This window comes from Homo sapiens, chromosome 10 (assembly GCF_000001405.40).
Source record: "Homo sapiens chromosome 10, GRCh38.p14 Primary Assembly".
NCBI classification, from domain to species: Eukaryota; Metazoa; Chordata; class Mammalia; order Primates; family Hominidae; genus Homo; species Homo sapiens.
In genome coordinates, this window is record NC_000010.11 from 106,164,014 (window position 1) to 106,190,525 (window position 26,512).

General features: G+C 36.8%; 1 long non-coding RNA gene across 1 annotated transcript in view; it reads left to right on the forward strand.

Annotated features, from left to right (window-relative positions):
- The window catches only part of LINC02624 (long intergenic non-protein coding RNA 2624), a 48,558-nt gene extending 23,849 nt beyond the window's left edge, over positions 1-24,709 (forward strand). Inside the window, exons 2-5 of the long non-coding RNA NR_134330.1 lie at positions 19,773-19,885; positions 20,534-20,581; positions 22,942-23,019; positions 24,549-24,709. This is a non-coding gene — a long non-coding RNA (long intergenic non-protein coding RNA 2624). The remainder of the gene's footprint in view (positions 1-19,772; positions 19,886-20,533; positions 20,582-22,941; positions 23,020-24,548) is intronic.
- Positions 24,710-26,512: the final 1,803 nt, after the last annotated feature.

The following is a 26,512-nucleotide window of genomic DNA, read 5'->3' on the forward strand; positions in this document are numbered from 1 at the left end:
CCATGCAGAAATCTAGTATACAGACAGTTCCTAACTTTTGATAGTTTGACTTATGATTTTTAGACTTTATGATGGGTTTACTTGGACAAAACCCCATCCTAAGTTGGGAAGCATCTGGACTTATGATGGTTCAATTTATAAATGTTTAATTTCATAATGAGTTTATAAGGGTATTAAATGCATGTTTGACTTACAATGGGTTTATGGTACAACCCGTTGTAAGTGGAGGAACATATGTATTTGACCATAACAGCACAGAGGGGTCAGGTGGGAACAAAGCTGTATTGAAGTATAAAATGACATCAGTTGTCATTTGAATCCATAGGAACAAAACAAGACAACCAGAAACAGAAAATAAGAATAATAATATAGCAAACTTTATAAATATATACTTGATCTTCTTTCTTTCCTGTTTTTTATAAACATAAAAATATATAAAATATCATTTATAATGTGTTTTTATATTATAACATATAAATATAATATGTAAAATGATAATAGCATGAAAAGAACATGGAATTGAGATGTATAGGAATAAATTTTTATATTTCATTATAATTAAGTTAGTATAAATCTGAAGTAGATTCTGATAACAAACATATGGTAAGCCCTAGACCAATGACTAAGAGAATAAAAAAGTGAAAACAAATGTCAAGTTATTAAAACATTACACCAGAAAACCTCAGCTTAACACAAAAAAGTCAGTAAAAGAGGAATAAAATAGGAGGAAAACACATGAGACATATAAAACACAAAAAGAAAAATGGCAGACCTAAACCCAATTATATCAATAACAACATTACATGCAAATGCATTAAGGGCAGGGTTTTTTAGACTTTATGCATTAAAAAAAATTTCTGACAATATTCTGTTCTCAGGATGGAAAGATACTTTGTATCTTTAGATTCAAATATAGAAACAGGTTGACTGTAAGAGGATGAAGAGAAATATAGCAGGCGCACAGCAATTATAAAAAAACTGACCTATACTAATACCAGGCAAAATAGATTTTGAAACAAAAATATCAATAGAAAGATATTTTATAATGGTAACAGCATCAATAAATCCAGAAGGAATAACAATTATAAATAAATATACACGTAACAACACAGCCCCAAAACTCATAAAGTCTATAAGAGTTGAAGGGAGGAAGGGACAATTCAACAATAGTTAGGTATTTTAATATTCACTTCAATAATGGATAGAACTAGAGAGAATAACAAGGATATAGATGACATGAACAACACTGAACCAACTAAATCTAACAAATATCTATACAGCACTTCACTCAGCAGAAGAATACACATTCTTCTCTGGTACTATGTAACATTTTCAAAATAGACAATATGCTAGACTATAAATCAAGCTTCAGTAAATTTAAACACATTAAAATCATATAAACCATGTTTCCTGACCACAATGATATTAAATTAGAAATCAATAACAAAAATAAATTTGGGAAATTCACAAATATATGGAAATTAAATGACACACTCCTAAATAACCAGAATCAAGGAAGAAATCACAAGGTAAACTAGAAAATTCTGAGATAATGGAAACAAAAATACAACATACAAAAACTTAAACTTATAAGATGAAACTAAAATAGTCCTGACAGAGACATTTATATCTTTAAACATCTATATTGAAAAAAAAGAAGAAATCAAATTGATAATCTATTGCCATAAGAAATTGGGAAAGGAAGAACAAGCTAAACACAAAGCAAGCACAAGACAGGGAATAATTAAAATAAGTGTGTGAACAAATGAAATAAACATAGAGAAAATCAACAAAACAAACACTGGTTATTTTAAAATATTACTTAATTGACAAAAATTTAGAATGATTAAGAAAAATGATAAAAGGTTCATATTTCTAAATCTAAAGGCTGAAATATGTTTGGAACTGCTCTGATTGGCATACAGTTGCAATACTCTTTCCTTATTATTCCTTTATTTCTGTGTGTTTGGTACTGGCATTCTCTTAATCAGTACCAAACACACATAATTTGAAAGAAATTAACAAATAAAGTATATCTGATGCTTTACACAAATAAAAAGTAAATATAAAAATTAAGGAGATTAAATTAATAATTTCAATACTTTTCACAAAGAAGAGCTTAAGATTCAGAGGGCCTTCTTGGTAATTTCTACCAAACATTTGAAGAACAGCTAATACTAGATCTTCACAAACTGTTTTTAAAAAGGAAGAAATTGTCTATGAGGTCAGTATTACCTTGATATTAAAACCAAAGACATCATAAGAAAAGAAATCTACAGGCCAATACTTGTTATGAATATAGACACATAGACACAAAAAATATTGAAAAAATATTGGCAAACCAAATCCAATTAACACATAAAATGATTACACTCTATAACCAAGTGGGCTTTATCCCAGGGTTGTAAAGCTGGTTTAATATCCAAATGTCAATAAATATAAAACACCATATTAATATAATAAAAGGAAAACACTATGCAATCATCTCACTAGATACATAAAGGTATTTGAAAAGAAATACAATCTCATTTCATGGTTGGAAAAAAATAAAACACTCAACAAGATAGGGAAAAAAGAGAACTTGCTCAACCTGATAAAGGAAATCTATCAAAACTCACAGTTAATCTCATATGTGAGGGTGAAAGATTGGATGCTTTCTCCTAAGATCAGGAATAATACAAAAAGTCAACTGAGATTATAACAGATGAGAACAAGGACACAGACATTACTTCAAAATGATATGATTGTCCCTAGAAATAAAAGAAAATTAACTTTAAAACTTTAAAACAATGAAGATATAATAGTGAGAATATAATATATATAAAGCTCTTAGCTTTTTATATTCCAAAACTCTAGGTCATAAAACAAAGTCTAGAACCAAAATCAGGAAACTATAGAAATTCATCATAAAATGTGTAAAAAGTTCAAATAAATGGAGGAATAGATTATTCATCTGGTGGGAAGAAATAAATATATCTAATATTTTCAAAATTCTGCAAATAATATATATGTACCAAACATAATTGAAATCCTGATGACATTTTTTACAAAGTTATCTTACAGTTTACCTTAAAAATTTCACCTATGAACTTTAGAAGATTTGAAAAGGAACACTGAGGGAGTGTTTGCTTTAAATATTAACACTAATATTAACACTATTGTATATCTTTTCCGACATTATGCCTAATAGAAAGATGTATCACTAGATTGTATGTGGCATCTTTATTTATTCAGTGAATAGAGCCAAACATTTCAGAGTACACACTGAGACTGACAAATCACCTTGAATGCACTTATCATCTTCCTTGGGAGAGTAATTGCAAGGGGCTAGTCCTCACTGTCTGGAGAGATGTGTATAAGATGTCCCATGTTTGGGGGATTAAGTGGTTCAGGTAGAGTAGGGAGTGGTTCTTGGCCTGTAGCAGGCTTGGTGCCAAATCCATAAGGTCACTGCAATGTCAAGGCTGGTTTGCACCTAAGAAGTGGCTGTGTAATGGCGAAGACATCTAAAAGTATGGATCTGGTGCCTAAGCAAGATACTGAAATATCTTATTCCTTTAAAGAACCACTCTGAAGGACTCCCATCAGTAACAAAGGTAGCAGGCACAAAAAAAAAAAAAAAAAAAAAAAAGACCTGTACTTTGCCACATCGCTGTAACCTCAGCTTTCAAGACTGTTTTCCTGGCAAGGTCAGTTTATCCCCTTCTAGCTCAAGTCTTCTATGAACAAGATTTCTCTTCATACCTGGAGAGAACATGCATGCTATCTCCACGTTTCTCTCCATGCATCACTTCATGTTTGGGAAGTTCTTGTTTTCTACCAGGGAACCTCAAATGTACCACAGTTTACACTTCCCCATGCTGAGTGGGCTATGCCTTGTTGTCCAACAGAACACCATAGCCAGAACTCTACCATCTTGTTCCCATGAGATAATAGAGATTGTGCCATTCTGTCAAAAAAAAAAAAAAAAAAAAAAAAAAAACACCTCACTAAGTGTCAATTAACCCACTGAAGCTTTCACTTAAAGACGCCTGGCCTTTATGGCTGGGAACCTTAGCTGCTGAGGGAGATGATACCATTTTAGCATCCATAGCTGGGACATGGCCAGAACTTGATTCATCTACTGTACTTCAAACAGGATGTGCCAAGGCGTTTTTTAATCTCAACCACAATTCAAGGCAGAGAAAACCTGAACACTCCCATTCCAAGAACTTGCAGACACTGCAGAACCCCTGACTAAATAACCAAAGATTGAAATCTAGGGGTGGATGATTTTCTGAACTGGAGACTATTACTACCAAGTTAGAGGTCTTTAGAATTTGTACACTTCTACCATGCACATATAAAAATATGTCTTCTGAGTTTTCCATGAAAAGATAGGGAACCAGTGTTTATATGACATACCTTTAATATGTGTATTCTCATTTAATCTCATAATATTTCTATATTGACAACTTAAGTTTTAACTTTCTCTTTTGGTCATATTAGGCTTTCAGGTTTAGGAATGCTATTCTTAAATGCTATTTTGCATCCGCATCAATTTCAGTCCTAATATACACACTTCTCATTTTAGAAAAAATATCTATTTTCAAAGAAATTAAAGCCAATAACTTTGTCCTGCAATTCATAAATTCTGAGAACTTCAGTGAAATTTCCTTGTTTGCAGATCTCCGTATAAAATGTTTGTCAAATGCTCCAGAAATTCTTTCCTAACTTCCAAAGTCCCAAAGAAATAAAAAGAATATTGGCAACAAAAATTTAAAAAAAGATTTCCCCCAGAGCTTTTGCATCCTCACCTAGTTATTTGGTTCAGCCCTGAGGAGGATGCTCAACATGTCTGGGGGTAGAGGTCTCTGACCACATTCATTGGAAAGGACCTGATTAGACCTTCTACTTTTGAACTGTTTTCAGTGGTAGAAAGTTTCCCTTTGTCTTGTGTTGAAATTAACTTCCTTGTTCTTCTTTGTATGAATGTGTCCTCTGGAGTGCTAATGAATGAACTGATACAGTTTCTTGCCTCTGAGTTGCTGTAGTTGCCTTCTATCCCAATCTTGCATATTACATGTCTTTTGTATAGTGACATTTTGAATCTTTCCCTGCAATATTTCTCCCTTACCATTGGCCCAGATTTGGTCACGCCACTACACCCTATCTGTGGCATCAGATGATAGGATACAACTCATAAAACCAGGTGATGCTTTGGGGGCTTTTGTAAATATACCATCAAGTCGTAGACATTGCCAGTAACCAATTCAAGCTATTTCCCTCTTCACCTTTCCTGCCTGTGTACTTAATCGACTACTACAGCCTGAAATATTCATGACTTCTTACTCATAGAATCATTGATCACGTGTGATTTCCCGCAAAAACAAGCAGGTTTAAAGAAGCAGCTTTGTGCCAAAAGTTTGCAGAGTAAAGACTATTTTTTTCAGTCATTTCACAATGCCCTGAGTTATTGCTGTGGTTTATTAATTCTAACTCTGTTTGTTTGACTTCACCTTTCAGTATAAGTTACTGTGAGTCGGTTTCTGCAAGGTAGCGATATGTTCTCAACTGCTAGTTATTTTCCAGGAATGTCTTTTCTTGTCATGTATTCAATTAGTCATTTTAAAAAACACATTTATCGCTACAAAGCAAGGCTAGAATTAATGCTGATCTGCTTCTTTTTCCTGGATTACTGCATTTTCCAACTGTTTGTGCCTCAGCATATGGCCCCTATGTTCTTTTATTAAGAAAAAAAGAAAAACATTTACATTGGCCATCTTCACTGCATTTTGTTAAATGTCATCTAAAAATTCTATCTGCGCTCTGACCATCACTTGTTCATATTTGAAGTGCCCATCGTATTATTTACTAAGACAATTACCTCAGCATTTGGGATCCTTTTGATCTAAACACCGTCACATATTTTAAAATGTGTTTCATCTTTTTAATTTAGTTGGTTCTGGGACTCAGGTTTTGGAATGCTATTCTTAAATAAATCATAGTTGATGACAAGAAGTCAAAGTTACTTCCTGAATTTGTTTCAGAGCTTTGGAATATGGAAAGCAGAATGCATGCTATATTTAGGGTAGTCTATAACGTTTTCTGTGGATTCAAGTTATTTCTTTCCTCTTGTGAGGAACAAAATTGAACAGTCTCATAGATGGCAGAATGGCCCATGTGTGGTGTGGTCCTATTGCTACAAAAAAAAAAAAAAACTGCTTGAGTCTATACTAACAATATCCTATTCACTTTAACCTTATGTGCAATGACTGAGAGATAACAGCTGTTTCAGTGAATATCAAATGTTGCCCAGAGGAACACATGCATTGCTCTTTCTGTCTATATAGAAATTTATCAGCGCTTTTCTGCCCATGCACATCTGCTGGTGTGCCATGGCTCAAAAGGCAGCAACCATTCTCACTGAGCACCAAGGAGAAGTGAAGTTGGTCTTGGGACTATTTTGCATAGAGTCCTTGGTATGGGTTAGAGACAAACGGATAGACCTCCTGAGATGCTCCTGCCAAGGAAAATCAGATGACAATAACCAGATATTTGTATATCACCTTATAGCTATACTATAGAGAATATTCACAAATATCATTTCCTTTTTGTTTCACTGCAATCATGTGAAGTCAAGTAGTAGACTTTTTTTTTTTTTTTGAGATGGAGTTTCGCTCTTGTCGCCTAGGCTGGAGTGCCATGGTGCTATCTCGGCTCACTGCAACCTCCACCTACCAGGTTCAACTCATTCTCCTGCCTCAGCCTCCCGAGTAGCTGAGATTACAGGCATGCACCACCATGCCTGGCTAATTTTTGTATTTTTAGTAGAGACTGGGTTTCACCATGTTGGCCAGGCTGGTCTTGAACACCTGACCTCAAGTGATGCATCTGCCTTGGCCTGCCAAAGTGCTGGGATTACAGGCGTGAGCCACCACACCCAGCCGACATTTTTTATTACCTGCTCACCACCTTCCCAGGTGTTAACCCTTCCCAGCAGCTTCAACTTCTGCTTGGGAATCTCTATAGGTTCAAAGAAGCTGCTTCCTTCACCCACTCTAGGCTGAAACCCATAACTGAATCTAAGCCAATCCACATGTTTAATTTCCCTGGTCACAGTGATTGGTACAGGCATGGACATGGAACATATGCTGATGCAGTCAGGGTGAATCTCAGGAAATTTTCTAAGCACCCTGGAATGAAGACATCACGTCGTTCACATCACCCATAAATGGCAATGCATCTTACTGTGGAACCTTCTGGAACACATCTTGGGACCATGAGGAATAGCAACCATAGGATAAAGCCGGTATATTAGAAGTCTAAGCAAGGTGTTGGAGAGAAATCAAATCTTTGTAATATTGGCACTTTAGTAAAAGGGCAGGAATAAATATTTTCTCTGGGACTTTGAATTGTGTGAATCAAACAAATTTCTTTATCATAACAATCCATTTAAATTTGGTTTTAATTTACTTAGCTCTGAAAGTGAATTCATATAAAGGGCTGTCTTTGCTGAACTCTCCTACAGACAGAGCCTGAGTCAAAGGTTTGGGAGCACATAGTTAATTTAAGGTAAAATTTAACAAGATGATGAGAGTGGAGAAAGAAATTCAGAGCAGGAGAAAAGCCAGTAAAGGAGGTGTTAGGGTAAGGAATCACAGTAGGAGTGCCACAGTAGGCAGAGCAGGAATGATTAACATTTTTCATTTCAATGTATTTTAGAGAGGTTAAATAGACATCTTCAAACTCAAAGACTATAAGCAGTGGTTATGTCACAACAGTGCTAAAACCTGAGATTTATTGAACATTTACTATAAGAGGATTATGCTAAGTTCTTACCATACAGTATCTCATTTAATCTTTAAAACAATCTCTGGAGATAGTTATTATAATGCTTAATTTATTTAAAAAAATGAAATTCTGGGTAGAGAAAATTGTGTAATTTGCTCAAAGCCACATGTCAAGCATGTCAGAGTTATATCCCAAACTCAGGTCATTCTGACCCCAACACTCCATGCAACACTGCCTCCTACCCAGCCACAAAAGGTAAGCCAGCAAGGGAAGGAGCGGTCACCAACATAAGGAAACACTACCATTATTGAAAGAAACACATCTCTAAATTTCCTAGGTGAATTTATAATCTTATTTAATTTTAAAACAAAGATGTCCTACTTTCTCAAAGATTCAATTTTATCTTTCAGTAAGATGAAAGGGTTCAACCATAGTATCTCTAAGAGCCCTAATAATTGTTAGATTATATAATGGTCTGATACAAGCTTTTCAAATGCAAATATAAGTGAGTTTTAAAACATTGTCCATATGTAAGTGCATCTGAGAATACATTTTATTTAATACATAAAATTGCAATGTGTATTTGGGTATTTTCAAGACGAGGGAAAACAAGGGCTATGTGTGGAACAATCAGATATAAACACAGATTAATACAATTCAGTCTTTCAAGGACATTTATTGAGTATCCCCTTTAGGTCAGGTACTATGCAGCCATTGAAATATCAGTCCCTGGAAGCAAATAAAAACAAAAAGACACCTAAGAGTCGTTGGCAACCAATTTCATGCCACCCAACAAAGTCTCTTTTCTTGAATAGGATGAAGGTAGTGCAGGCCGAGAACAGAAAAGATAAAACAAATAATCTAATTCTAATTTGCACTTCAGTTTTTGCCAAATTATAAAGCTGGTTAGAGACTTATTTAGGATATAAAAATTTGTGTGAAAGCCTCTGAGCGCACGCACACATACACACACACACATATACACACACACACACACACACACACACACAGAGGCATCTATAATATGGCAGCATCTCAATATGGTTCTCTCTAAGGAGGCAGCATTAGCTGGTGGAAAGAACAATGATTTGGGAATTAGGCAGATTTGGAAATAAACCTTCCCTCAACCATTTTCTAGTTGGGGAATATCACTTTACCTTTCTGAGTGTTCCTGTCTTTTGAATGACTTAACTACAAATTTGTCAACTAGGGTTGATGTATACATAGTTCCTGGCCTAGGTACTCAAATAGATTAATAATAATAAGAAGAAGAAATAGTTACTATTCATTGAGGTATTTTTAAAATCATTTACAGTATGGGTTTTGAGAAACTGTTTCCTTGAAAAATAAAATCCCCACAGCCTAAATCACAAAGGAAATTAACAGTTTTAAATGTCACAAATGATTGTACATAATTAATGACCACTGGCAAGATTTAAAAAGAAAATCTAATGTGAGTGAGTGATTCTCCCTGGGATCCAAAAATTACTTTTAAAAATATTGGTACGCAAGCTAAATTAACTTAAGTATAGAGACCGTTTTTCTATTTTAGCATCTTTTTTCCTTTGCTTTAATAGAATAAACATGTAAAAATAAAGGACTTAGAAAGCATATTTTTCTGAGTTATCAAACATAGCCGTTACAGTTTTAAATTGCTGAGCTCAAAGGCTGAAGCTTACATTTTGGAAAACCATAAATACTAAAGCAAAGTCTCGATATGCCTATATCATTTTACCTTAGCTTGTGTTAGTTCTTATTATCAGAGTTCAAACAGTTGTATAAAAGTGTGTCCAAGAAATTGATGTGATATTGATTATCTATTTTTTCCTTTTAATGTTGATGATAAACTCCATTTACAGTTATGTGATTTGTCTCTCTGTAACTCTTCATGAATTATGTTGTAAAAATTTTGTTGTATTGTTAATGCTTGTATTAAACCTAACTTTTTAATGTATTTATCTCTTTTCTCCTCAATAAGATTATAATATTATTGGTAAAAGATTCTGTGTTATGCTGTTCCCCTTTGTAGCCTCTGAGGTCAGGTAGCATATATTCTTTGTGTACAGCAGGAGCCCAGTGTGTAACATATTTAGGGCTGGGCTGATATTTCGCTCATCTCTATATTCATATTCATCTCTTTATGCTGATTTGTGTCTGCTTTATAACTCCTGTTCTTCCATTTGACTCCTCTATCATAGTCTCTGTTTTATCAGATTCCCTCCTCATTTTAAATCAAATCAAATCCTTCTGTTTACTTTCCACTTACATTACTGCCTGCAAGTGTCTATCAGGTATACTTATACCTAGATTATTTATGCCAGGGCTGTAATGCTTTTCACAATACCATATGCATCAAAGATGTTTCCCAAAGCAAAACTCCCATTTTATCGCATCTACTCAATTTTGCAAGCCCGTAACTCCTCCCAGTTGTCATTTCCACAATAATACAAGGGAGGACATTGTTTGTATAAAAATTTTACACAGTGCCTCTCTCTGTCTAGTCCATTTTTTAGTTAATCAAATTTTTATTTTATTCTATTTTGCCGGTTCCTTGTAATCATTACCCACTTCACATTCTTCTGTATTTGAAATTTCTACAGGCTCCACCTCCTTTCATTCAAATTGAGTTCATTTTATACATGAGCTTTCCCTCATGGACATTTTAATCAGCTGCTCCATGTACCAAGAAAATGCTTTGAAACATAAGCAGACTGCATCTCTAGTAGAATCATTAGTAGAATGTAGAATTTGTTGCTGATTTATCTCTACCTAGGTAAAAGGCAGAGATGTGGATTGTAACAAATCTGTTACCTTACTCTAACCTGTCTTAGTGACAACCAGTTATAGTATGACTTGCTTTTCTTTTATATACATAAGGGGGTCAGTGAGGGGCGAGATCTCTAATATTCTTATTTGTAGGCACTACCCAGTGTGCACCTAGCAATTGCATGATATAGAAAACATATCATTTTCACTACTGAAAAACTCTTTATTTTATAATTATTCAATGGTAAGAAAAGAGGCTTTATAAAATTCTGACTAAAAAACTAGAATGTAGATCTATGGAACTATTTTTGGGGGATGCTCTCTCTGATTTTTAAGAGTTCAATTTCAAAGGAAGTGTCTCAAGCAAAGGCCATATCTCTTTCCTGAAACAGCTTCTAAGAAAGGCAGTGAAAGCTGATAGGGAGGACTTGATCCTAGGATCTAGCTGCCAGAGCCTTATCTTTGTGCATCCACCGGCCAATGAATAGGACATCTCCCAGGGCCAATATTGAACTTAAAAAAGGACTGAACATCTGTTGTCATGTTGCTAACAGACTCCATGTACACTTGGTTGAGAAGGAGATCAAGACTGTCTTTAATATTAACTATTTTTGAATTTAAAAATTTGGGGCCAGGCACAGTGGTTCATGCCCGTAATCCCAGCATTTTGGGAGGCCGTGGTGGGTGGATCACAGGTCTGGAGATCAAGACCATCCTCACCAACATGGTGAAACTCTGTCTCTATTAAAAATGCAAAAATCAGCCAGGCATGGTGGTGGGCGCCTGTAGTCCCAGCTACTCTGGAGGCTGAGGCAGAGAATTGCTTGAACCCAGGAGGTGGAGTTTGCAGTGAGCCGAGATCGCGCCACTGCATTCCAGCCTGGGAGACACAGCAAGACTCCGTCTCAAAAAAAAAAAAAAAAAAAAAAAAAAAGGAAGACGTTCTCTAGAAATATGAATATCCAGATGTGGTTATTAGAAAAGCCCATTTAAAATTATTTTTGTCCAAAAAAACTGGGGACATGTGGTCACTGCAATCACAGCACACCAGTTCTCTCCATAAACCCCATCCTCTGGGCTGCGCCTGTGTACTTCCTAAGAAGAAATACTGAATAGAGGTGCCTCAAGACTAATCAGATTTAGTAGGGACAATCCGCTTTGCTGTTCATACTGAGAACAAAATCAGACCTAAATTGACTGATCCAGAATTAAGGACTTTACAGATTTACAATATAAACAGTGACATCTTGTAAGGGATCTATGCGATACATTTAACCATACTAGTTTTCCAAACTGCATTTGTGAATTCACTTTGTTTTTTGGGAAGGTTGTTAACAATGAAGGTTGGTTGAGGAAGATTTCTATTTTGATGTATCTTTATTAAAAAGGCTTGAATTTAGACATATCGAGAGAGTGCCACCTTGTGGGTAAAAGGCAGTAAAGTCAGATGGAGAAAAACATATCACGTGTAAATTTTCACTATTTCTGATTGTTCTCTTTATATGTAACTAAGCCTGACAACCCAAATATTTCTTCAATCATACAGAGAGAAAATTATATAAAAGTGATGCAAATTAATCTAAAGATTTCAGAGAAATATTCTGTTTCAATATTATTATACAAGAATAGTGTGTTTCAAAAATATATGTATATACACTGTCATATACGTGTGTGTATACGTGTATATGCATACTTTTGCTGCTGGTGTTCATAAAATATCAATACAAAAAAACAGCAAACCATTTGAAGATAGAAATATTAAATCTACCTTCACATTTTGATTTTTTGGCTCATCCTCAATTCTACACAATTATTAATTCTCAGATGCATGGACTAAAAAACTCGGCATAAAAATTAATTTCTTGATATCGAAGAAAAACAAGGTTATGGACAAAATACAGTACTGCAGCGGGTTTTCATTGATGGCAACCTCTTATTCCATGCACCGTGTTAACATTATGCAGCTTTAATGCGGAAATGGAATACATCTCATTTCTCAGGATACCTGGTTTGAGCCAGGCTTTTTTTGTTTGTTTGTTTGTTTGCTTTTTGAAACGGAGTCTCGCTCTGTCACCCAGGCTGGAGTGCAGTGGCGCCATCTCGGCTCACTGCAAGCTCCGCCTCCCGGGTTCACGCCATTCTCCTGCCTCAGCCTCCCGAGTAGCTGGGACTACAGGCACCTGGCTATTTTTTTTTTGTATTTTTAGTAGAGACGGGGTTTCACCGTGTTAGCCAGGATGGTCTCGATCTCCTGACCTCGTGATCCGCCCGTCTCGGCCTCCCAAAGTGCTGGAATTACAGGCGTGAGCCATCGCGCCCGGCCAAGCCAGGTTTTTATAATCTGCAAATCATGTGTTGTCATTGGTTCTAGAATGATAAGCCAAAAATAGATCAAAGACAAATAATTTCAAATAAATATCAGCATTAATGTTTATGTCTATAGTTGTTTAAAATTTGTCTCATTTGAATAGCTAGAGTTCAATTCCTTGACTGCTTTGAATTGTTCAGAGGAAAGATTTGGATACAAGGGCCTTTTAGTAATTATTATAAAGGAATCAGTTTCTTCCTGGTTTACCAACTTTTTTTGAATCTTGATGAAAGAGATAGTGAATATGTCAGCTGAACTCTATTTCTAACTTCAGATGAAATGAACTGTTCATATATAAAGCTGATTTGTCCTATAAAACTGCTGGTTTAGTTCTTTATTTTCAAAATGTCTATGTTCACGTCCTTTCCTGCCTCATCCCCTGACTCTGAGCCATTGCACATCCATGTCTCCATCTGTCCCAGACAAGTCTCAGAGGTATATGTCACAAGGGAGAAAGTCAGAGCAGGTGGTTTAGTTAGGAAACACCTTCCAGTCCTATTGCTATTTCTCTTTTGTTTCTTTCCATCTCTTCCATGAAGCCATTCTTGACTTTTTCATGCTCTCCAATCTCCCTCCACTTAAGTCTCCTGTAAATCTTCACCACACAATTAAACCCTTAATTATATAATGTGATATTTGTCCTCTAATTGTTTTACAAGTGTTAGTCTTGTTTTTGTGCTATATTGTGAGCAATTTGGGAACAGGAACTATGTATTTTACTTTTTCTAAATCCTGCACAGCATTCATCAGAGTGCAGGCCTCCATAAATATTTTAAAATAAAATTAATGGAGGATGACAGGGCCTTGGCCTTGTCCTGTTTAATATTTGGGGCAATGACTTAGAGGGCTTAAAAGAAATGCTTTTTGAATTTGCAGATATCCTGAGGTTGGGAGTGAGAACTCAGGCTCTAGTGGGAAAGACAGATATGCATTCATTTAGATTACCATGCATTATCAAATATTAGACTAAATATTGTCAGAAAAATTAAATGGAACTTCCTGGAGGAGTCAATAGATACTGAGAAGCAGCATTTGAGCTACTGAGAGGGGATTCTGGACAAAGATGGCATGCACAAAACAACAGACTAGAGAATGATGTGGAATTGCTTGAAGAATGATGTACTCATGGAGGAAGAAATGCATGTGGGTAGGTGAGACTTGTAATCCATTATTGCACGAGTTACAAATTAAGTATAGGTTGTAAAGAACATTATGTACCTTGCAAAATGGCTATGATTTAGATACATGGATTTTGTGCATTTCAGTATTTCTCTCCTTTCTATTCCCGATGCTGCAAATCTAGTTTCTCCTTCTATCTTTAACAAAATAATATAATAACCCCCTAATTAGTATCCCCGTCCCTAGATTCTTTCTAAATAAATCAGGCTTCCACACGGTTGAGTAATATCATAACTTTACATGAAAACCACTTGTAATTTTCCAGTTCCTACAAATTGAAAATAACCTCCCTGTAACAAACTAACCCTGGCAATAGGACCTTGACTTAAGTACCTTGCATTCTCTATGTTATTCCTTATGACACAGTAAGAAGTAAATTCTCTTGGCTCCCAGAGATATACCCATCTTTGGAAATTATCCACACTTTCCAATTATGCATGCTTTGCATTTTTCTTCAAGTACCCTATTATCGGCCTACCAAATTCTATCTCCTTCAAGTCCCAACATGAGGGAAAAATCCTTCATCAGTCATCCTCGGAAACCCACTAAACCATATGATTTCAATCTCCGTTGAATCTCTCAAGTCTTTGCTTATACTATGAGAACCTGACACGTCTTCTGTCCTATGACTATATAATAGTTATTTGTGTTCTTGTCACCACATAATCACCATATCTATCTCACCTTGTTCTCTCCTTGACAAAAAAAGATGTGGAATATAGTAATCTTTGCAGACCCCAAAGCAGTTGGCATTAAGAAGACCTTGCTCATACCAATTTTTAGCACTGTTTGCTCTTTGGTGACCTGCTGACACAAAGAATGTATTGCAGAATCTGACACTCTATGTCCTCTACAGAACCCACAGTCTAGAGGGGGACAGCTTACTAGGTACATACATCATAAAACAAGGTGGAAAAATGAATTGGGGAATATAATGGAATTCCTAAGTATGAATTCAGTATGGAAGTGGCAAGATTCCACCATTCAAATTGAAATAATGTGGTCAGGTATAGACTTCGAATCTTATCTGAAAGTCTAAGTGGTAAGTGGACTAAAGTCACTTCCTGGGCAATCACATGTAGAAGAATACATTTCATGAAAAGGGATGAGGGCATCCTAGATTTCCAGGGATGGGTGGGTCCAGTGACATTCCTTACCAGGATCCTTAGGCTGCATAAAGAACTGCTGAAGCCCTCTTTAACAGCAGAGCAGTTATTGTTTTTATGTCTATAAAGAAACATATATTTTTTATAGAATATTTGGAACGTAGAATTTTGAATAGTTGCCTTTTTAAAAAAATTTATATAAGCATATTATTTGAGATTATATTACATCATGTTTGAATCCTGACTTTTTTTTTTCCACCAAACAATATATTTGAAAGATTTCTCCCATGTCATTATAGAGTCTTTAAAAAGAACAGCTGCCAGTGCTACACTACATCTTTGCATCATAATTTATTTAAATAGTTGAGTGGGACCACTTTGAAATACATCTAGTTGTGTGTCAAAGGGTAAACAATTAGCTAGGATTGAATGGACAGCAGCTGTTGGGGAAAACTACCACTATGGCAACTACTTAGTTCCATCATCTATTGACCTCAAGTTGTTTTAATGTCATTTATGCCTAATGTTCCTCCCCTTGTATTCTGGAACATCACAAAACAAAACACATAGTGGGGACCTAGGCTGATAGACTGTGTCCTCTTCTGTAGTGAGACAACTTTATTAATGCATTTACTTTCAAAGACGAATAATTCAAAGCAGAGATTTCCCTGAAAAGAGATAACCCCTCCTTTCAGTACAAAGGGCCAGCTGCTTTATCAAGGTGGACTTCAGATAGGAAAGCAAAGGACCAATTCCCAAGGAAGTCACCAGGAAAGTGTCCGTTTGTTCTTAATGACATCAACCCCTCTGGCTCTGAGCTTTTCTTCTCCAGAAGGAAGCACAGAAAAGGAGCATGGAGTGGGCTTTGAGTCACGCATGACTGGGGTCAGCTTCATGAGCAGATTCTTTCATCTCTATCTAGATCTCATTTTACAAATGCAGCTGTTATTAATTTTGAATAATTAATGTGGGGTTTGAAAATAAATAATAACAGCAAAAACAATAATAAATCACCCTTAAAATTGATGAGGAAACAATATTCTTGCACAAAGACTGCAAGAGGCAGATGTGTTTTATAGAATGAAATGCCAGATCTATCTACATGTGGATGATAAGGGAGCCTATTTGTAGATGGAAGGGGGTCAAGGAAAGGCTACCCATAGACACAACCTCAAACCTACCTTAATCATGGATTTTATGATTCCTTTAAAGTCCTAAGATATAATCTCATATATGTCAGATAAAGATATATAAATTTAGGTGTAGAGGTATATATACATACATACACACATATATATACACACATAAGGACATATACACACACACAAAAAATTTAGTACTTAGCCATGAACCATAAGTGCTTTATGTACATTATGTTATTTAATTTAGTAACTCAAAAAAACTATTATATCCCTCATTCTCTAATGAAGAAAATGAGTCTCAGATTTGCCATTGATCTTATATCTAGCCTTTTAAAGCTAAAGACCATATTCTCACCATACTACCAGCGCTACAGCTGCTTTTTTTTTTTTTTTTTTTTTTTTTTTTGAGACCGAGCCTCGCACTGTTGCCCAGGCTGGAGTTCAGCGGTGTGATCTCAGCTCACTTTCCACAAACCCCACCTTCCAGGTTCAAGGGATTCTCCTTGCCTCAGCCTCCCTAGTAGCTGGGATTACAGGTGCCTGCTACCACACCCAGCAGCTGCTACTTTTAATAGCACTGATATTATATTTCTTCTATGCCGCATTATTATCATTCATTATATTATTAGCATCTATTCATTGAGTGTTTGAACTACATACTAAGCTAAGCAATTGATATATGTTATCTCCTTTAAACTCTGTGGTACCCTGTGATTAATGTCTAGTGGATAAGTAGATATCTTGATTATTGTTGTTTACTTGTTTTCCTTTTCTTCAGGAAATTCCTCTTCCCTATTCTTTTGGGGCTACCAATAAAACAGACTTGCTCTCCTAGATATAGGGACAGACAGGAGAACAAATAGCGCAACCAGATTCTCTGTCCCAAAAATATGAATCTTAATAAAATACAAATGAATAGCCAGGCATGGTGGCTCACGCCTGTAATCCCAGCACTTTGGGAGGCTGAGGCAGGCAGATCACTTGTGGTCAGGAGTTCAAGACCAGCCTGGCCAACATGGTGAAACCCCTTCTCTATTAAAAATATAAAAATTAGTCAGGCGTGGTGGTGCACACCTGTAATCCCAGATACTTGAGAGAGTGAGGTAGGAGAATCGCTTGAACCCTGGAGGCAGAGGTTGCAGTGAGCTTAGATCGTGCCACTGTACTCTAGCCTGGGTGAGAGAGACTCTGTCTCCAAGACATAAAATAAAATAAAATATAAAGGGAAATGGAACATAGTTGAAGCCCGGCCATCTGTTCAGAAACACCCGGCTCTGCTGTGGTTTTTACTCTTCCCAACAATGCTCCATTGCTCAATTCCTCCTTTGACTCTGTGAACTGCAGTAAATTATTTTTCATTGCATCCTTAAAAAATGTTTTTCAAATATCAGTCACTTCTATTCCTCTTGCTTGCATTCCAATTACTACTCTGATTCACAGATCAGGCTACTGAAGTTCAAAGACAAAATATGATAGCAATGTTTGGAGAAGACAACTGCAGAAACTCATCCAACTGGCAAGTAAAATTAAAATACATTTCAGGCTGACCCCCAAGCCTGTATTGTGCTGTGCAGCTTTGTCTTCTAACAGTGCTTCTAGCTCTTCTCATGGAATCTAAGTTATTCCCAAAGTGAGGGAAGACTGGATGGCACTATAAAGATGAACCCCCTTTTTATTAGAAGCAGAAGTGCTATTCCTAATCTTCAAAACTTGGTCAGGCAGTCACAACTGCTGTCATCTACAGTGTTGAAACAGGTTGACAGACCACCTGTGGGGCCAGATATAAACTTGGATCCTGAAAATCAAGGTTTCTCTGAGTCAAGGTGGCCAGGGAAGCTGGGGAATCTAGGGAGCTCAGGGCATGGCTATTTACCAGCTTGTACGGAAATATTTCTGTTGTTTTTTTAATAAACAGAAAGACCAGACATAGCCATTCTAGTACACAGTCTGAATGTCAGACCTGGATGGAAGGTGATCTTTGAAGGGATATTTGTGAAGAGAATCGTAGTAAAACACATCGGCATGAAAAACAGCAAAATTGGCTCACACATGCGGCTTCCAGTGTCTATAGGCAGATCTGAAGATTTATTTACCTTGCTCCCCAGTACTGTCTGGGCCCAGGTGAGAGGAAACCTGGTGGGTTTTCCCCAGTGTTGTGAACATCATATTTTCACTCTGTTTTCTACACCTCAATTGGAATGGTATGGAATATTTGTAATTATTTGAAGACAAATTTGAAAGCCATCTACATAGTAAAACAAATGAGGGGAAAATTAGAAAAAAAGAAAGAAAATGTTCCAGAGATTGGCAGTGACTAATTAGAAAGCATAACTAACCTACTGGCTGGCATGTCTGTGTTCCTGCTGGCCTGCAGCCAAGGTCCAAGAGGTAGGGAACCAGGAAAGCCATTGCCTCCAGACAGAGTAGATGCAAGAGAGCCTGCCTTAAGACTTCTGCCTCTTAGGCTGAACCTGTAGAAAGGAAGAGGCTGTTGAAGGTGTGCAGAAGCTCAAACTATCCACCCCAGAGGGAATTTCCTGCCTAAGGCTTTGTCTTAACAAAGAAACAGTGCTTTGTGTCCTGTTTGAGAAAAATATTTCTATAGGAATACACATACCCTTTATGCTACACTGATCTCTGGCAAAATAAATTGTCTCTATATGTTTACATCTATGTATATATTTTTAAATACAAAGTGCTTTCCAATGTCCACATAGAGGGCTTGTGTTGCATAGGCTGAAACTCCCCACGCCTCATTAGGCCTATTTAAAATACACAGTTCTTGCATGAAACAGAGAAAGCAGACTTAAGCCCTGTTTCCTTTCCTCATTCATTTCTCTCTTGGAAATAGCAAATAGCTTGTTCCGGCGTGTGGCTCTGCATGAATTCCCACTATTCTATGTGATTTTCCTACATAAAACTGTTAACTGGAGTCAGAAACTAAAGCAGATGAATTGGACCTGAGGGGATAGCACACAATGTGTTGTGCTCCCAGACAACTTCATTACTTTAATTACCTAAAAAGTATAAATAGTTTGGCAGGGTACGAATCTCATTTCTCAGCCTAAACGATAATAGTTAGCTGGGAGAGATCGTCCCAAATGCTGCCACTTATAGATTGCCTTATTTTTTTTTTTTTCTGAAAGCAGATCCATTGACCTTTATGGGTATGCAGTCTATGCCCTTGAAAGTGGCTGAGGGACTGACTTTTGGACACACAGGGAGTTGAGAATGGATATTTACTAAAGCCCTATTATGTGCCATTCTTCTGTTCAATGAATAATTATGATGTAGCTCCATACCATGTACTGTTCTGGGCACAAGTAACACAACAGTGAAAGGTAGTTGAAGTTCTTGCTCTTATGAAGTTTATATTCTAGCTGAAGTAGGCGCAGGAGAAAATAATCAGAAACAAATACATGGATACACTATTTCTAGATGTCAAAAAGAGGAAAAGGTGAAGATCAGGAGGCACAACATTCCAAGGATATAAAAGCAAATGTGAAAATGCCATAAAGTGGACATCGGCTTGGCCTGTTGAAGGCTGAAAAGTAAGTCTGGGCTGAGTAGATGGGGCTGGCATCACATTTGATAGTTTAGCTCTGCCACTTAGTTTTCATTTTCTACTTTAAAGACTTACTCTCATTTCTCATCTTAGGTTTCCACATCATTACATGTGGCTTACAATGCTTCCATTACAAGGTTTTCTACGAATAAATTACAGAATGTATACTGACCACTTAGTGCTTGGCAAATATTAAAATGAAAATAAATATTAGTTGTCACTGATATTATTATTAATTTGTAATATCTTCCCTGTCTTCCACAGTATACCATACTCCAAACTGAATCATTATTCTAACTATTATTATTATTAGCAGTATTAGTATTATTTTGCAGAGAGGGGTTCTTGCTTTGTTTCCCAGGTTTGTCTTTAACTCCTGGGCTCAACTGAACCTCCGACCTCAGCCTTCCAAAGTGCTGGGATTGCAGGCTTGAGCCATCACGCCCAGCCTAAATGTGATGTTTCATTTTTCAGAAATGCCACCCCTCATCCTGAACTCCATGCACTGAAACATTCATCACCACCCTCGCCATCTTTTCTATCAGCCTGTTCAAAAGTTCCAGATGGCTCTTCAATGACTCTGTCTTCACATTTGACCATATGTTAATTGATTCAATATATGCCTGTATTACAGATCCAAGCAAAGTCTATGTTGCCTTCACCAGTGTTCAGATACACCTGGGTAGGTATTTTGTAGGGTTGGGACTCCTGAGGTCTATTTGCATGGGCCTATATCAGGAAAGTGAAACCCATTCCAGGTAGCCAACTAGTAAGGTTTTAAAATAGAAAACTAGCTACAAACATGTGGGAGGAGCTTAAATACCAAACAGTTGATAAAAAGGTAACCCCCAAATTAGCAAAACTAGAAAGTTGTTATCACCCTTAGGCTACAGGAATAAGGGAGGGAATGGAATTTCCAGAGTCCGAGAGACTGGTTACCTTGGTGGGGTAGAAATGGTAGGAGGTGAGGTCAAGGGGAGATGTCCAGCAAGAACGGGAACCATAGGAGACATGCAGTCCTCTCTAACAACACTACCAAAAACAGAGAAAATGAGAACTAACTCAAGTTTTTCTTTTCTCCCTCTGTTCAAACTCTTGTGAGTGTTCACTGTTGCCCAGACCTAGCTGGAAGCCAGAAGGAGAGGGAGTCCTGGGAAACAGAGTTTGCAGGGGTCAATCCCCTATGATATGAAGCCAAGCAGGGGAAATGCAGGAAATGCACCTGAGCACAGACAAGTGAAACAGACAGCACAGGAACAGACACCAGGACCACCATACCACACACTGCACATCCCCACCTGAACGCTCTGCTGTGATATTTGTGCAGCACACACAGGCAGCTTGGGAGTGATCAGACACCTAGGAAACAACTTGTCTTTCAATAAGAGTCAGATATTCATATTTTCCTGAGAAAGGGGACAATGTGTGATAAGCACACATTGCCAGTCACTTAACTTCTCCCTCCTGCCTGAGCTCAAGGACAGTCTGCAAACCAAACCTGAATGAGCTATTTAACGAATACATTCAAGTATAAGGGGTCCCAGGCAGAACTGCCTTGAGTTGTGGGCAACAGAGTGTGATACAAAGGTATAGCCAAAAGATCTCCCACATTAGCAGAAATTACACTGACTTTTGTCATAATAAGCTCAAATCATTCCTGTAGTAATAGGCCTTAATGCTCTCCATAGTTACTTGATGCACCAGATCTTGACTGCTAGACACCCCAGTTCAGGTATCAGCAGACAGCAACAACAACAACAGCACAGCAAGAAGTCTCGTTGAGTCCTAGCTATAAAGCCCACATCATGATACCTGGACCTAAACATTGACTCACCACACTGAACTGGATCAAGAAGGAATAAAAGGATAGAAATATTAACATTGCTGATGCGATTGTCCATGAGCCCATGATAATACATATCATTTATTGTTATATAAATATGTGCTTTATATAATTCTCTCTTTCATATAATTCTCTCTTTCATCACGTTTGAGACATTGTAGATTCTAAATCACATCCCAATTTCAAAGATGCTGAAATAGAAAAAAATGCACTTCAGAGCCAATGAAATATATGATACATAAAACTAGACACGTATTTATAATAAATAACAATGGATCACTTATTTTACATCAGGCACTGTACCACACATTTTTATTCTCATTAATCTTTATAACAAATATGTGGAGGGAGGTACTTTGTTTATCTTTATTTTACAAATGGTGAAACTGTGATTAGGAAACTTGTCTGTGGTCGCAAAACTATTAAGCTGTGTAGTCTGGATTCAAATTCCAAGCTCATGCTGACATCCATTTTTTTACACTGCTTCTATGTGGATCACTTCCTGAGAGCTTTCAAAAAAGTATTATCTTAGGAAAGATACTAAAAAGAGGATATAGAATATATCTGACAATGTTAAGTAGGAGACAGGAGAATTTAGGCTTTTTGTTTTGTTATTGTGAATCAATAACTACATCCATTGCATACACACACATACACGCACACACAAAAACACACATCACACACATATATACACAGTGGTGTGACCTAAGAAAAGCTGGATTACATGTAGGTGCTTAATCATAATGATGTCTGGGTTTTGTGGGTAGACCAGGACTATGTATCTCTTATCACTATATATCCCATGGCATCTGTTTCAGTGATTTTCATTTGAATACTCAACACGTGTTTTCTCAGTGAGTGAATAAATTAATACATTAAGCATTGTGTGTATACAGGGAATATGGGTACAATGATACTGAGTAAAGAGGGTCTAAGAGACTGTTCCTAGCTCGATTAGGGCTTAGCTAATCAATGTCATCTAGGTATAAGCAGAAAAATATGCCAATTGAAAGGTTAGATCTCTTTTAATTATACTGGGGCACTTGCAAAAAAGGGGCTGTCTCATAAATTTTTCACTAGCTAAAATGATAAAATATTGATTCAGAACTCACAATTAATCCTTATAAGTAGACGAGGCTTTTAATAATTCAGTCATGTCTCTCCATGGTCTTGTTTGTTCCCTCCCCATGGCTGGATAGAAGCTGCTTTCTGAAAAGATGGAGACCATTTTTACCCAACAGCATCAGCTCAGATTCTTGTGATTATAACACAGCATGGTAAATATTAACTAACTCTTAAGTGCTTAGCCTCATTCCCCAAACACTTTCTAAAGCAGAAACACAGGTAATTCTCCTTCCATGTGTGCCTACTTGAAATCTGTTTTGTTTTAGATGTTCAATTGGATACCTTCTTCTTTTGACTTCCAATTAACTCTGACACTCTGAGTTATAAAACACACTACAGTTTTGAGAATGTAGATATAAAATGACACATGGACAGTTTCTCAAAGGGTTGCATACAGGGTCACTAGAGACTTCAAGCCCTGGCTCTGTCATCAAGCTGCTTTGAGAAAGCATGGCACTCTACCAGGCATCAGTTTTCTTATTTGGAAAACGTTGGTCCCCTCAAGGCCTCTTTTGACTTAACTTTCTTGAGCTGAAGTACTACCATTCTATGAGTACAGGTACTTTTGGTTCAAATAAATTCTGTAGAATACACTTAGTAAGAGGGGCAATTTTTTTTTCTTTTTTCTTTTCTTTTTTTTTTTTTGAGATGGAATCTCGCTCTGTTGCCCAGGCTGGAGTGCAGTGGTGCCATCTCAGCTCACAGCAACCTCTGCCTCCCGGATTAAAGTGATTCTCCTTCCTCAGCCTCCTGAGTAGCTGGGACTACAGGCATGTGCCACTATGCCCAGCTAATTTTTTGTATTTTTAGTAGAGAGAAGGTTTCGCTGTGTTAGCCAGGCTGGTCTCGATCTCCTGACCTTGTGATCCACCCGCCTCGGCCTCCCAAAGTGCTGGGATTACAGGCGTGAACCACTGCACCCAGCCAAGGGGGGCAACATCTTAGTCAAAAAAAAATACTTTTCTGTTTTAGTAGAAAAGATGCCAGATGTGAGGCTCTTCTATTCCTGATGGTTTAAGGGTTTCTATGATGTTGTTTTTGGTCCATCTCCAAAGTAAACAAATTCCCATTTAAACCATGTGCTCTGATGTTGTCATCCAGATATTATTTTTCTTTTGTTTTTATATTCTGCAAATCTTAGTTGGCAGACATATCTTAGACCCACAGGGGAAGAACAAATACTATAATATCATTTTTATGATTACAATTCATATCAAAGTAGGGAATTGCATAGATACAGTGTTGGAGAGAAGAAGAGGTATACATTTCAAGTAAGGTCTCTAAATCCAGGAGTTTAAAATGTATATTTTTGATCAAACAGAATCCTCTGGCTCTGTTTCCTAAGTTTCTCTAAACTTCTGCAGTTTCTTCTCTTATTTCCCCTAAAAATATAGTTTATTCCTATTCTTTGGTTTTTGTTTTCTACTTTGAAAACAAACTTTCAATTCCAAGTGACAAGGCAAAGTCACTAGGTGAAGACACTTAAATTTGAGACTCTTTAGCTATAAAGAAGTTTAGAAGCAAGTTGAGGCTCAACTATTTAATTGCCATATATTACTTATTATCTTCTAGAAGTCTGCATTCTTACTTTTTCTTATGGCTTGATCCACTAAATTCACCAATGAGTCTGATATTTTTTGCTTTCTTTTCTTATATACATATAAAATCAATCTTGCTATAGATTGCTGCTTCATGCCTTCTGCCATGTGAGGACACAGTGAGAAGATGGACAACTATGAACCAGGAAGTGAGCCCTCACCAGACGCTAAGTCTGACAGTGCCTTGATCTTGAACTTTCTGGCCTCCAGAAATGTAAAAAAAAAAAAAGTATGTTGTTTATAAGCACCTAGTCTGTAGTATTCTGTTACTGCAGCCCAAATAGACTAACACACTAGGTTTTTAACTGTTGATCTTGTATTCTTTTTCTCGTTCAGCTCTTTATAAATTGTGTTCCACTGGAGATAATATTCTGTAATATATTGATCATGTTCCCTATTGTATCTCTCCTTGCAAAAGTAATACAAGAGATAAACTTGCTAAAAATTATATAACTCGACATTGTCATAAATCCTATCCAACTCTTTCCCATGTAGGTACCCCACCACCACCACCCCACCACAAACACACACACACACACACACACACACACACACACGAAGAACACTCAGTAACATCTTAACAGGAATGTTAGTGTTGTAAGAATACAGTTGGAGGAAGTCACATTGACCATGGTCAGAACACTATGAATTATAGTAGTTGTAGTACCCATCGTTTTCTGGAGTGCTGACCTGCCTGCCAGTCCTTGATTCAAAAGTCATACTTCTATTATATACATCTGGTCAACTCATTCAGGTATACTACTTAAAATCAAAGCCTGCTTCTTTGTTAGTAAAATGAGTACAATAAAAACCTTATGTGGTTGTTTTGAAAATTGAATGGAAGAATACATATAAAAAGCCTGACATAGAGTAATAAACCCTATTGGTAATTGTTGTTATTGCTACAACTATCATTATTGCCATCTGCTAGGGCCTCTGACACAGTGCCATGCTGATGTAGGTACTGCTGCCCTCTGCTGGAATTGTTTCAGCCTGTTTTGCCTCCTAAGACAAATGAAGGTCATTGATCTTTTCACAAAACCTCCCAAGTTCTTGTCAGCCCTTCACCCAGTACTGACCTTCTTAGCGGTTGATGCACTGACCTTGCAAATGCTAAGAGGTAGATAATTAGCCATGCTCTTAACTCATACAGCTCGTCATACCAGTCACTTTAATGTGGGGTGATAAAATTTGTAATTTTTATGAGGCTTACCCTGCAGATCTAAACTATAAAATATGCCATGGAAAGATAGTGGATAGCTGGGGGAAGTGCTACCTGAGGTTTAAAATATGACCCTAACAAATTCATCTCAATTCCACCAACCAGGCTTCAGAATTAAAGAGAATGGGTACCTGTAACAACAAAAGCATCCACAGAAAAATGTCTCTTCTTCCTATCTCTTTATTTTTATTTGTGGTTTAAGACATTTCTAAAAGTAGTTTCACATAAGCATTTACAAATGCCATTTAGATATATCACTTCACATTGGGCCAAACAGTGCATATTTAATGAGTTATTTGCTGAAGCCATTCTCTCTCATTAATAATGGACAGATGGACCACTAGCTCAAATCAGTTTTAATGAATGTGGGCTAAGGCATAGGCCTAAAATATCCAGATTCCTGTATTTACATTTTTCTGATATTTTCACCCTTGACATCATAGAACTTTTTCTTTTTCCTTTTTCTCCCAAAGTAGATTTTTTTCACCTGTCTGCTCACAATTAAACTGTAAACACTCACCAGCTTAATCTGTCCTATTTCCTCTCTTCATATCACCTGAGGATTTAAACATGCCTTATTGATTCTCAATCATGCAAATCTTTCCTATAAACAAATCTATTCATTCAGCTCTGATCAGCAGCTATTAGTAAGCAACACACATTGGCAAGGTAAACTAAACACTGCAGATGAGTTAGGAAAAAAATCACTGATGTGCTTATCCAAATTCTGTGTGGCATGTGAAAATGTTTTTTCCTTTTTTTCCATTATGACAGCTGTCTAAGTGCAAGGTTCTAAGGAAAGATTAAGATGCTGGTGACTTAAAA